The 12,682-nt window shown below is 42.2% G+C and overlaps 1 pseudogene, besides 1 other annotated feature; it reads right to left on the bottom strand.

Moving 5' to 3' along the window:
• Positions 1,993-2,505: an enhancer, noted in NCBI's record as "H3K27ac hESC enhancer chr13:99833707-99834219 (GRCh37/hg19 assembly coordinates)". NCBI's record gives its function as "activates a minimal SCP1, AML or CMV promoter by ChIP-STARR-seq in primed H9 embryonic stem cells {active_cell/tissue: H9 hESC(primed)}" and the evidence as "EXISTENCE:reporter gene assay evidence [ECO:0000049][PMID:30033119]".
• Positions 11,119-11,531, bottom strand: GAPDHP22 (glyceraldehyde 3 phosphate dehydrogenase pseudogene 22; annotated as a pseudogene).

Consider the following 12,682-nt stretch of genomic DNA (forward strand, 5'->3'; position numbering starts at 1 on the left):
ATTTAGTTCTCTCTTTTCATATTACTGGTGTTTCTGCTGGTCCCCTGATGGAACCCTAACTGATGTAATCCTGCTATGGTCTGAATGTGTACCCCCGTATTCATGGGCTGGAAACTTAATCCCCAATGCAACAGTGTCGGGAGGTGGGGCATTTTGGGAAGTGTTTAGGTCACGTGGGCTCCACCCCCATGAATGGATTGATGCCTCTATGCAAAGGGCTTGTGGGAAGGGGTTCACTCTCTCCCACTCTTCTGCCAAGTGAGGACACAGCAAGAAAGCCCTCACCAGAAGCCAGTGCCTCTGTCTTGGGCCTCCCAGCCTCCCTAACAATGAGAAATGCATTTCTGATCTTTATAAATTACCCAGTCTCAGGTATCCTGTTTTATAGCAGCACAAAATGGGCTAAGACAGCCACCTAGCCACTATCTCAAACCTCTAATGCCCTTGCCAGGTCCTGGGTTTAGCCCCAGACCCCTCATTCTAGGAAGAATGAGCTGGTCTTTCGTTTCATCCAGAAAATTGAAGCTGTTATAGGTGACCTCAAACATCGTCCTACCCCCACCACAATCTACAAACATTTCTGCAGCCAATTTCCTTTTGGTCAGCCTCAGAGGATAAAACATTTTTTTCCTCTTCAATTCCAAAACTTCCACAGGTCCTTTTGACTCCACCCCATTCCCATGTCCTGTGGAGCCCAGCTCTGAGCTCTCTGAGCTCATATCCTATCCCAATTTTTTTTAGAGACAGGGTCTTGCTCAGTCACCCAGTCACCCAGGCTGGAGTGCAGTGGTGTGATCATGGCTCACTGCATTCTCCACCACCTGGGCTCAAGTGATCCTCCCACCTCAGCCTCCAGAGTAGCTGGGACCACAGGCACACACCACCATGCCCAGCTGATTTTTTTATTTTTTGTAGAAATGGGGGTTTCACCATGTTGCCCAGGCTTGTCTCAAACTCCTGGGCTCAAAGAGTCCACCCACCTTGGCCTCCCAAAGTGCTGGGATTACAGGCGTGAGCCACTGGGGCCAGCCCTCTCCCAATTCTTAACACGCTTCTCTCCGTCATTTCCAGGAGAAGTGACTAAGGGCAGGTCAAACCATTGGTGGATACTTCTCCCGCTCTGTCCTGCTAACTGTGTTCACACTTGTCCCATGCACATCCACCCATGAAAGCTCTGCAATCCTAGCATCTGGCTTCATGCCCCGCAGGAGGGAGGCAGGGAATTCCTATTCAGTGTGTGTCTGTTGAATGCCGAAGACATGCAGAGGAGTTACTCATGTGAACCTGGAACATCTGAGACAGGCCTCAGTTAATTTAGAAAGTTTATCTTGCCAAGGTTGAGGACACACCCATGACGCAGCCTCAGGAAGTCCTGAGGACATGTACCCAAGGTGGTCGGAGGACAGCTTAGTTTTATACATTTAGGGAGACATGAGACATCAATCAATATATGTAAGAAGTACATTGGTTTGGTCTGGAAAGGCGGGGCAACTTAAAGCAAAGGCAGGAAGACTCAGGTAACAGACAGGTGAGACACAAAGGGTTACATTCTTTAGAGTTTCTGATGAGCCTTTCCAAAGGAGGCAAATCAGATATGCATCTATCTCAGTGAGCAGAGGAGTGGCTTTGAATAGAATGGGAGGCAGGTTTGCCCTAAGCAGTTTCCAGCTTGAGTTTTCCTTAGTGATTTTAGGGGCCCAAGAGATTTTCCTTTCACATTTCTGACCTTTTTTTTTTTTTTTTTGAGATGGAGTCTTGTTCCATCGCCCAGGCTGGACTGAAGTGGCGTGATCTCAGCTCACTGCAACCTCCGCCTCTTGGGTTCAAGCAATTCTCTTGTCTCAGCCTCCCGAGTAGCTGGGACTACAGGTGCCCACCACCATGCCTGGCTAATTTTTGTATTTTTCATAGAGACGGGGTTTCACCATGTTGGTCAGGTTGGTCTTAAACTCCTGACCTCAGGTAATCCACCCACCTCGGCCTCCCAAAGTGCTGGGATTACAGGTGTGAGCCACTGTGCCTGCCCCCCACCACTTTTCTTTTGTAAAATCTGTCGGAGAAAGCATTTTGCAAAAAAATGAGTCTCTGGTCTCAGGCTTCATCTGATTTCTCATAGCTATGATGGTTTATTCCTAGATGGGTAAGTCCCAAAAGCTCATTTTTAGTAGGTTGTGAAGTCTCACATTCTGTGAAGAGAAAATAGCAGGGAGGAAGGGAGAAAAAACAACAACAAACAAAAGAACAATCCTAGAAAAATCGATATAAGCCACATTACTCTGAAGTCCATACATTAGTAGGCAGGTATGAAAGTGGCTTATGTACGTAAATAGGTTGCTGTTATTTTCTTCTGAAGTTCAAGTTGTCTGGCTTCAGTTTGCAGGGTTTTAAGAAAACACAGCTTAGTTTTCAGTGACTCTAAATTAGGAAAAATGGAAAAAAAGAAGGAAAAGAAATTGAAAACATTATTTTATGGACTTGTAGCCAAGAAAAATTAGAATTCAGTCTAAACTGTAGAAAATAATACAAATTGAAAAAAACATTAGGCAGACTAGAATCTAACAACAGGTCTACTGTAGTTTTGAAACATAATTATTCTCTCTCCAGTTTCCCATTTTTACTAAAGACAAAACATGGTGGGACTGGCTTGCTTTATTATACTTGGCCTAATTATTTGTATACAGTGCAGCAAGAATAATTATCTTTTACATAGGCTTTCAAATTGGCTTTGATGGAACTTTGTTCCATAGGAGGAATAGCAGATAAGACATTTTAAAAGCGAAGCCCAGCCATAGATTTGTGCCATCAAATATCTATGAGTTGGGTGAATTTCCCCTTCTCTTGAGGTCCCAACATAAACCTGGGGCTTCTGTGCCTGTCAGAAAGTGAATTCTGTACTTACACAGGTCAGAAAACCTGTACAGGGACTGTGTACACAAAATATGAGGCCAGTTTTTCCAAGGGCTTTATTAGCTCCACAAGTCGATTCCTTAAAGGAAAGCACACCATCCCAGTCAAAGCCTTAGTAAAATAACCAATTTCTCCAATTGTGTCCTATTGCAAAAGAAAACAGATTCTTATGGCACTTATGCAAATAACTATACTGCCATAAATTAAGAATACTCACAAATAGTTTCCAAATTCTGGAGAAACCAGGTAGAGAGAAACAAATATGCTCCCAATTCTGGTAACAGTATACTTTACTCAATTGTTAAAAGCTGTAAATAGCTTTAGTTTTCATAATTCTAAAAAACAAAACAAAGTATTAGCAATGTTTTAAGCAAAAAGGTCAAAAAGATTAGTTTTCTATTGGTTCAGTTAATTCAGTTAACTCCTGTTCTGTTTGATAGTCATAAACATTTCAGCTCTCCATGAGAGTTCTGAAAGTTTATTCCTTTATTCCAATGTCACAGTTTCCAAAGTTATCAGCAAAACTGCATTTAAGTGCACCTGTTAGAGTCCTATAACTGATTATAAACCCACCTTTTAAAGGGGTTTAAAACAAGATAAACAAGAGAATTGTCTGTGGATGAAAAAAGTTTTAAGGCAGCCACAGTTAAAAGACACAATTGACAAGGAAATGTGTTACCTCTGTGACACACAATAATTTTAACAACACTTATGACTATTACTGATAATGTACACTAAGTTATATCAGAAATACAGGAGTTTCCCATAATTTTGGAACACATACCAGTAACATATTTATACAAATACAGCCCAAAGAAAACCAAACACCATTTCATATTTGACACTTCCTGTATAATTTTTATACCAAAATAAGCCAAATTTTGTCATTTTTGGACTTAGGGAAACTCATTTCTTAAAGGATTAATTAGGTTAGAAAAAGACATAATTTATAATTTGATTTTGGAAAGTTTGTCAAATATAAAGGGTTTAAAACACTTGGTATTACAAAATAGGATTACAGGTCATTGTGAGGTCATTTATTTAACCAAAGTGATAATTCAAGCATTTCAGAAAAAGCAAAAACCTTCATTCTTTGAGAGAGGAGATCTAATTTTCTTTTCTTTTTCTTTTTTTTTTTTTTTTGAGACAGAGTCTCGCTCTGTCACCCAGGCTGGAGTGCAGTGGCATAACCTCAGCTCACTGCAAGCTCCACCTCCTGGGTTCACGCCATTCTCCTGCCTCAGCCTCCTGAGTTGGGACTACAGGCGCATGCCACCATGCCCAGCTAGTTTTTGTATTTTTAGTAGAGATGGGGTTTCACCATGTTAGCCAGGATGGTCTCGATCTCCTGACCTTGTGATCCACCCGCCTCGGCCTCCCAAAGTGCTGGGATTACAGGCGTGAGCCACCAAGCCCGGTGAGGAGATTTAATTTTCTAAAGGAGAAGCTCTAATAAAAACAGCATGAAGCAAATTACATTTGTTTTTCGAATTTTGTAAGCAATCTACAAGATTTAACCTTGATTATAAAATATAACTTCTGTAAGCCTTTTATAAACTTTATTAAGAAGTTGGTTAATGCTTCAAGAAAACCTTGCTAATCTGACACAGGAGTCCATGTACTGGTTTTGCATTAGTGTGCCCTTGACATTAATAATTAATTTATAGAGAAACAGAACTTATTTTATCTTTCAAAATCAGCCCTTACAATCTTAGGCGCCCACCTCTTCTGTGATAGTCCCTGGGCCCTGAGGAGTTGAATAGCTTTAATTTCTTGCCCTGTGTCTCAGGAATGCAATTTGTTTTGATTGGCATCTTCTATGGGGCCTGAAGATGAGGCTTTTATTGCTGTCAATGTTTAAGATTTAGCAGGACTTGGTGTCCTTTTTAGACCCAGGAGTTACAGCCTTGAAACTCAATGTAACAATGTACATACAGGAAGATACATGCATGTAATAACCTTAATTAAAAAAAAATTTTATCTCTGTTTTTTTCCTAAGCAAACCAAAACTTAATAATAACATGATAACTTGATTATATAAAAGTTTTTGTTTTTCTTTTTAATATAAATCCTCTTATTGTGACTTACACTGACTGTTAATGACATGATCAGACTTTCTGATTTGTTCTCAACATCCCTCCTTTTTAGATAACCAGTTATTTTATTTTAGGACTAAATTTACCATACAAGATTCTTTCTTATATAAAATTATTTCTCTTTAAGCTTTTTTACCTCAAAAAAGAAAACCTCCTTATTTTTATAACTTTCTTTACATCTCTTTTTATTCCTGGTGCCTTTCACCTTGTTTTATATATAACCTTTAAATAAGCTTTGAATTAGACAAAACTTGTTCACTTTTTTTTTTTTTAAAGGACACACTTTTTTATTTAGCAAGAATGTTTTCCCACAATATATATTTATTGGAAAATACCCAAATAATGAAATAGCTATTATTTAATTTAATATAACTTTATATTATAAATTATGATCAGTTTATCTACAAGTATTTATTCCATTACATTTATCTAAGTGTTTTATTTGTTTACCTAGATTATTTATGAAAACTGTGATAGTCATGATTTAAAGTTATGAAATCGCCATTGCAAAATTATAACTGAGACAGTGAAAAGATTTGACCTCACTGATTCCATATTGCTCTTAACCTCCAAGCTGTCCTTGTTCATTCCTGGGCGTAGGCCGAACTAACTTTGGGAGGAACTTAGTTTATAGTTTAGCTTTGAAACAAAGAGGGTAACAGTCCTTTCCCCAAAACAACCCTCCTTATTGTCTGCAGATCAGACTGCCTAAAGCCACAGGATTAGAAGTTATGGTAATCTTACTAAATTCAAGATAAAGCTATTTTCATTAAACTCATATCAATGTCTTCTTCATTAAAAATTACACAAGCAAAGATCATTCTGTTTTGGGCGGGGTTTATAGTTTTGTAACCCCTATGCCAAATTTGGCAGGGATAAGTATAAAATTGCTTGATTAATAAATGCAAACAAAAATGTATGCTGGGCAATTCTTAAGACATTTCTAATATTACTTTACCAATAATTTTAAAGCTAGCGTATTTATTAAAGATTTTACTTAAGTTACATAAACCTGAAAAACAATTTGACTAGTTTTTTCTTTTTTAGTATCTAATTCAAGCGCTTTTTTAAAAGCCAATTAATTAGAGCTCTCTTATATATTTTTAGTAGTGAAACATTCTGTACACAACACATAAATACATATAAAAACATATTAGGCATGCCGATGGAAGTACATTTTATAGATTTATAAAGTCCCCCCCCCCCCCCACCGCTTTCTTTCCTACCTTAGACTTTCAAATTCTTGATAACCTCTTTCACAGCCCTAGGCAGTTGTTAGCTAAATAACCTTAAATTTGCACATTAAAGGAAACAACTCAGGTGAAAAGCAAATAGCAAAATTTACATCATAAAGTACAAAGAGAAAAAGTCTGGTGATGCTAGAGAGAGGCACTTTTATTTTTCTTTGACCCAAGTTAAACATAAAAATTAGGGCCGGGCACGGTGGCTCACGCCTATAATCCCAGCACTTTGGGAAGCCGAGGCGGGTGGATCACAAAGTCAGGAGTTTGAGAACAGCCTGGCCAATATGGTGAAACGTCATCTCTACTAAAAATACAAAAATTAGCTGGGCGTGGTGGTGCGCGCCTGTAGTCCCAGCTACTCAGGAGGCTGGGCAGAAGAATCGCTTGAACCCAGGAGGTAGAGGTTGCAATGAGCCGAGATCATGCCACTGCACTCCAGTCTAGGAAAGAGTGAGACTCCGTTTCAAAAAAAAATTAAACTACACTGTTCCTTAAAAACCCAAGAGCAGCCTCTGATACAATAACTATTTTAGTTAAAAAAAAAAAAATCAGATGAAAACAAAATTCAGTCAAATAAGAAGAAAAAGAAAAAAAAAACTTTTGCTCAAAAAAAAGACAATGTCTTAGGAGACAAAAACAAACAAAAAAACCCAAAAACATGAAGGCCTTTTAAATACAAACATGCACACATGCACACACACACATGTTGGATGTTAGCCTTTTAATTAAGCTGACTTTTAACCATTGAGTTCCTTTACAAAAATTTTTTTAATCTTATTACCATATTTCAGCTAGGACAAAATGCTGCTAAACTAACATTGATCACACAAATTATATAATTTCTGAGTGTTCTTTGTGAAAGCAGAAATTAACACCAGCTGGTTGTTAAGTGCTAACTTTAGTCTTTTAAAAGGAAATTGCAAGACAATCTCAAACCAGTTTCTTTTTTTCTTTTTTTTTTTTTTTTTTTGAGACAGTCTGGCTCTGTCCCCCAGGCTGGAGTGCAGTGGCACCATCTCGGCTCACTGCAAGCTCTGCCTCCCGGGTTCATGCCATTCTCCTGCCTCAGCCTCCCGAGTAGCTAGGACTACAGGCGCCCACCACCACGCCCTGCTAATTTTTTTGTATTTTTAGTAGAGACAGGGTTTCACCATGTTGGCCAGGATGGTCTCGAACTCCTGACCTCGTGATCCGCCCATGTCGGCCTCCCAAAGTGCTAGGATTCCAGGCTTGAGCCACCGTGCCCGGCCTCAAACCAGTTTCTTACCTAGTGATGGGTCTCAGGCTGTAGACTACTCTCTGCCATCCTAGGAGCAGGAAAAAAAAAAACTCATCTTCCCTGTTGGAAGCGAGCTCAAACTACATAAAGGAGTTACCTGCCTTCTATCATCATGGAAGCAGAAAAACTTGCCTTCCTATTAGAAGCAAGTAAAACTAAAAATAAAAAAAAAAAAAAAGAGGAGTTGTACAGCAAAATAAACTTTAGATCTTGACCAAATTTTAAGAGATCAGGGATTCTCTGGAGGGGGTGCTCTCAAACCTCAGCAAATTGTCCTATTGGCTTGAGCCATAAAGTTAGCTCATGCTGCTACCAAGAACCAATAGATTTGTCAAAGGTCAGGGGCACCTCCACTCAGAATCCCCTCGTGGTTACCATAATGTGAACCCATAAAATCTGAGACAGGTCTCAGTTAACTTAGAAAGTTTATTTTGCCAACGTTGAGGAAGCCCCTGTGACACAGCCTCAGGGAGTCCTAACGACATGTGCCCAAGGTGGTCAAGGCACAGCTTAGTTTTATACACTTAGGGAGACATGAGGCATCAACTGATATATGTAAGAAGTACATTGGTTCCATCTGTAAAGGCGGGACAACTTGAAGCGAAGGCAGGAATACTCAAAGAGGGGACGGAGCTCCCAGGTCACAGATGGGTGATACACAAACGGTACGTTCTTTAGAGTTTCTGATGAGCCTTTCCAAAGGAGGCAACTCAGATATGCATCTATCTCAGTGAGCAGAGGAGTGACTTTGAATAGAATAGGAGGCTGGTGGCCAGGTGCAGTGGCTCGCGCCTGTAATCCCAGCACTTTGGGAGGCCGAGGTGGGCAGATCATGAGGTCAAGAGTTCGAGACCAGCCTGACCAACATGGTGGAACCCTCTCTGTACTAAAAATACAAAAATTAGCCGGGCATGGTGGCACACACCTGTTATCCCAGCTACTCAGGAGGCTGAGGCAGGAGAATCGCTTGAACCCGGGAGGCGGAGGTTGCAGTGAGCCAAGATCACGCCACCTCACACCAGCCTGGGCCACAGAGCAACATTCTTTCTAAAAATAATAATAATAATAATAATAATAGATCAATACTGATTCCTTAATTGTCACAAATATACCATACTAATGTAAGATGTTAATAAAAGGGGAAACTTAGTATGGGGTTTATGGAAAAATCTTCAAACTGTCTCTTCAATTTTTCTGTGAATCTAAAACTGCTTTAAAAGTAAAGCCTATTACCTATTAAAAAAATTTTTTTAGCCGGGTGTGGTGGCTCATGCCTCTAATCCTAGCACTTTGTGAGGCTGAGGTGGGTGGATCACATGAGGTCGGGAGTTCAAGACCAGCCTGACCAACATGGAGAAACCCTGTCTCTACTAAAAATACAAAATTAGCCGAGCATGGTGGCGCATGCCTGTAATCCCAGCTAGTCGGGAGGCTGAGGCAGGAGAATCACTTGAACCCAGGAGGCAAAGGTTGTGGTGAGCCAAGATCGCGCCATTGCACTCCAGCCTGGGCAACAAGAGCAAAACTCCATCTCAAAAAAAAAAAAAAAAAAAAGAAAAATTTTTTTAAAGTAGACTCCTGGGCCTCCGCTTCAGAATCTCAGGTAATGAGCCCCAGGACTGCACTTTAAACAAGTGTCTCCGAAGGTTCTTGCACACCCTAAAGTTTGAACACCATTTTAAGAATCTCAGCTGGGTGCCGTGGCTCACGCCTGTAATCCCAGCACTTTGAGAAGCTGAGGCGGGTGGATTGCCTGAGGTCAGGAGTTCGAGATCAGCCTGACCAACATGGTGGAACCCTGTCTCTACTAAAATTACAAAAATTAGGTGGGCGTGGTGGCGCACGCCTGTAATACCAGCTACTCGGAAGGCTGAGGCAGGAGAAACACTTGAACCCGGGAGGCAGAGGTTGCAGTGAGCTGAGATCACGCCATTGCACTCCAGCCTGGACAAGAGCCAAACTCCATCTCAAAAAAAAAAAAAAAAAAAAAAAAGAATCTCTGCACACTCTGCACAGAGTTAAGTTAGAAAGAATTGTTGCTGGCTGGGCGCGGTGGCTCATGCCTGTAATCCCAGCACTTCTGGAGACCGAGCCAGGCAGATCACAAGGTCAAAAGATCAAGACCATCCTGGCCAACATGGTGAAACCCCGTCTCTACTAAAAATACAAAAATTAGCTGGGCGTGGTGGCACATGCCTGTAGTCCCAGCTACTCAGGAGGCTGAGATAGGAGAATTACTTGAATCTGGGAGTGGGAGGCTGCAGTGAGACGAGATTACACCACTGCACCACTCCAGCCTGGCAACAGAGTGAGCCTCTGTCACAAAAAAAAAAAAAAAAAGGAAAAGAAAAAGAAAAGAATTGTTGCTTACAGAGTGGATGTGTGCCTATCCGTCTGCTGCAGGCCTTCCCATGGCATTGTTTTGATTGCCCTATGTATGTATCCACAGGAGCCAGCACTGAAGAATTGGGAGGTTCTTCAGCACAGTCCACACTCTGGGCTGCCTTTCTACAGCCTTCCATTCCCTGTGTTCCAGCATAAGGCTCTGGTGTGGCTCACCTCCAGGGGCAGTTATGTGCCCGTCAGTTTAGCACAGCCTGCATTCTTCCCCGTTGCTCCTAACACTTAGGGACTGTCATGACCATGTCTGTATTGTTAAAGTGTTGAACAAACCTGTTCTCTGTATCTGTGTCACCGTCAAAAGTGGAAAAATGCAAGGTAAATCAAGTGAGCCTGGGCCGGGCACAGTGGCTCATGCCTGTAATCCCAGCACATTGGGAGGCTGAGGTGGGCGGATCACTTGAGGTCAGGAGTTTTAGACCAGCCTGACTAACATGGTGAAACCCCGTCTCTACCCAAAATACAAAAATTAGCCAGGCATAGTAGCGCATGCCTGTAATCCCAGCTACTAGGGAGGGTGAGGCAGGACAATTGCTTGAACCCAGGGGGCAGAGGTTGCAGTGAGCTGAGATCGTGCCACTGCACACCAGCCTGGGTGACAGAGTGAGACTCTGTCTCAAAAAAAGTCAAGGGAGGCTGTGTTTCTAGAATCTGGGAGACGGCACACCTTTAGTTGTGTAGGTGGAGACTATCACTAGGTGACGAGCATGAAAGCGAAGTTCATGTGTTGATCGTTTGCACCAGCCTGCTTCCCTCCTCGATGGCGCCTGTGGGCATCTGAGTGCGCCAGCTCCCATTTGGACCTCAGGGCAGTGAGGGGTGCTGCACCCCCATTTGGACCTCAGGGCAGTGAGGGGTGCTGCAGTGATGATCAGGCCATAGGTGTATGCGGAAGGAAGAAGGTGGGAGAATGACTTCTTCCCCTCTGTTTTATCACCCCCTGGGAACGCCATGGAGAGTACCTCGACTCCGTAGAGAATTGGGATCCTGATGGAGCTAAGCCAGAAGCTGACTTTTTGGATGATCACACTGTTCTGGTTCTTTACTCCTAATTGCTGCTTTAGGAACAAACTGTCTCATGAGTATTCTGGCAGAAACAGACAGACTTGATTTTCAGAACCGTCTTTTCTTTTTTGCCAAGATTCAGAGTATGATTACTAAAATGATGATATTAATAGTAGCAAGCTCTTACTGCAGGCAGTACTTCTCATAGCTTTCACTCATCACACACATGGGGCCATCAGCAGAGGGGGCAGTGATGATGACCCTTTTGGCTCCCCCATCTAGGTGATCCCCAGCCTTCTCCATGCTGGCAAAGATGCTGGTGGCCGCCACAATATAATCAGTGCTGGCATGACCCCACTTGATTTGGGTGGGATCTCACTCCTGCGAGATGGTGATGGGATTGTCATTGATGGCAGGCTTCCCGTTCTCAGCCTTGATGGTGCCGTGGAACTTGCCATGAGCGGAATCATACTGGAACATGGAGACCATGTAGTTGAGGTCATTGATAGTGACAATATCCACTTTGCCAGAGTTGGCATCCCTGGTGACCAGGCCCCCAATATGGCCAAATCTGTTTTTTCTGGCCTTCACCTTCACCATGTTGTCTCAGGGACACAGCTGGCACTGCTCAAGAAGATGCGGCTGTCTTGTCAAACAGGAGAAGCAGAGACCCAGAATAATTATTTAAATGATACATTTTATCTTAAGAATTCAGGTGGATTTTTTTCCTTCTCAATCCAACCTGTGGGTTAATTAGCAGATTGTGTTAGAGTCTCTTTTCCTTTCCATTAGAAGTCTGCAGTCAGGGGCCAGACCCTGTAAGTTGTCATCACAAAAAGTTCATGATCAATGAATGCTATACCTCTATTTTAGGGGTAGAGTCTCACATACCATTTAAACTCCATGATGTAAAGATAATATGGAAAATTGGGGAGGATTCAAAAACATTAGAATGACCAAAGGGTTGGAAAGTTACAGAAATATTTAGTCTGGAGTAGAAAAGGCTGAAAGGTGTTTGCAAAATTCACTTCAAATAGATGAATAAAGGAATCAAGAGGATATTGAGCAGATGTTTTGGTTTTGTGGCTGATGGAGCAGATTTGGTTAAGGCCATTGCACAGAGCAGCTGCAAGGGACTAAAACTGAAGATCCTCTGTACCAGGGATCAGGGCTGCACCCAACAGTGGGCAGGTTTTAGTTGGAAGAATGGATGGCGCACAAAGGGAGTGGTTTATTAAAGGAAACCCACCCAGATGGACACGTGGACATCAGAACTATTTAAAATTAGTGTCAGGATTCCACCATTCCTGGGCACATTCCTCCCTCCTTGGAGTCAAGTTTCCTCGTGCAGGGTCCACCTGAGTCTCACTCTGTCTCCCTGTTGTGTTTGCACAGGGCAAACCCTCCTAAACCTGCTGGCTCAGAAAACCCAAGAGGTTATTATGTTGTGTCTTTTTGGACACTGGTGGGGGTACTCATTACTGAATAAATTCCCTTCTAAACAAATACTCCATCCCTAGCAGGCAGAAGGATATAAACATTTGGCAGATCAGCGCAATGATCTCACTTTAACATCTTAACCAACCCCAGCTTCTACAAATAGATGATATCATTGTAGCAATATAGGGCAGACTCTGCCAGCAGACTTTCTGAGACTCTCCTGGAACATAATTTGTCTTACAACACTTTTGGCAATCCCTTGGCCATGCTAGGGGGAGGGGTAGAGGGGAAGGAGAAGGGTGGGGTCCAGG

This window comes from Homo sapiens, chromosome 13, assembly GCF_000001405.40.
Source record: "Homo sapiens chromosome 13, GRCh38.p14 Primary Assembly".
NCBI lineage: Eukaryota > Metazoa > Chordata > Mammalia > Primates > Hominidae > Homo > Homo sapiens.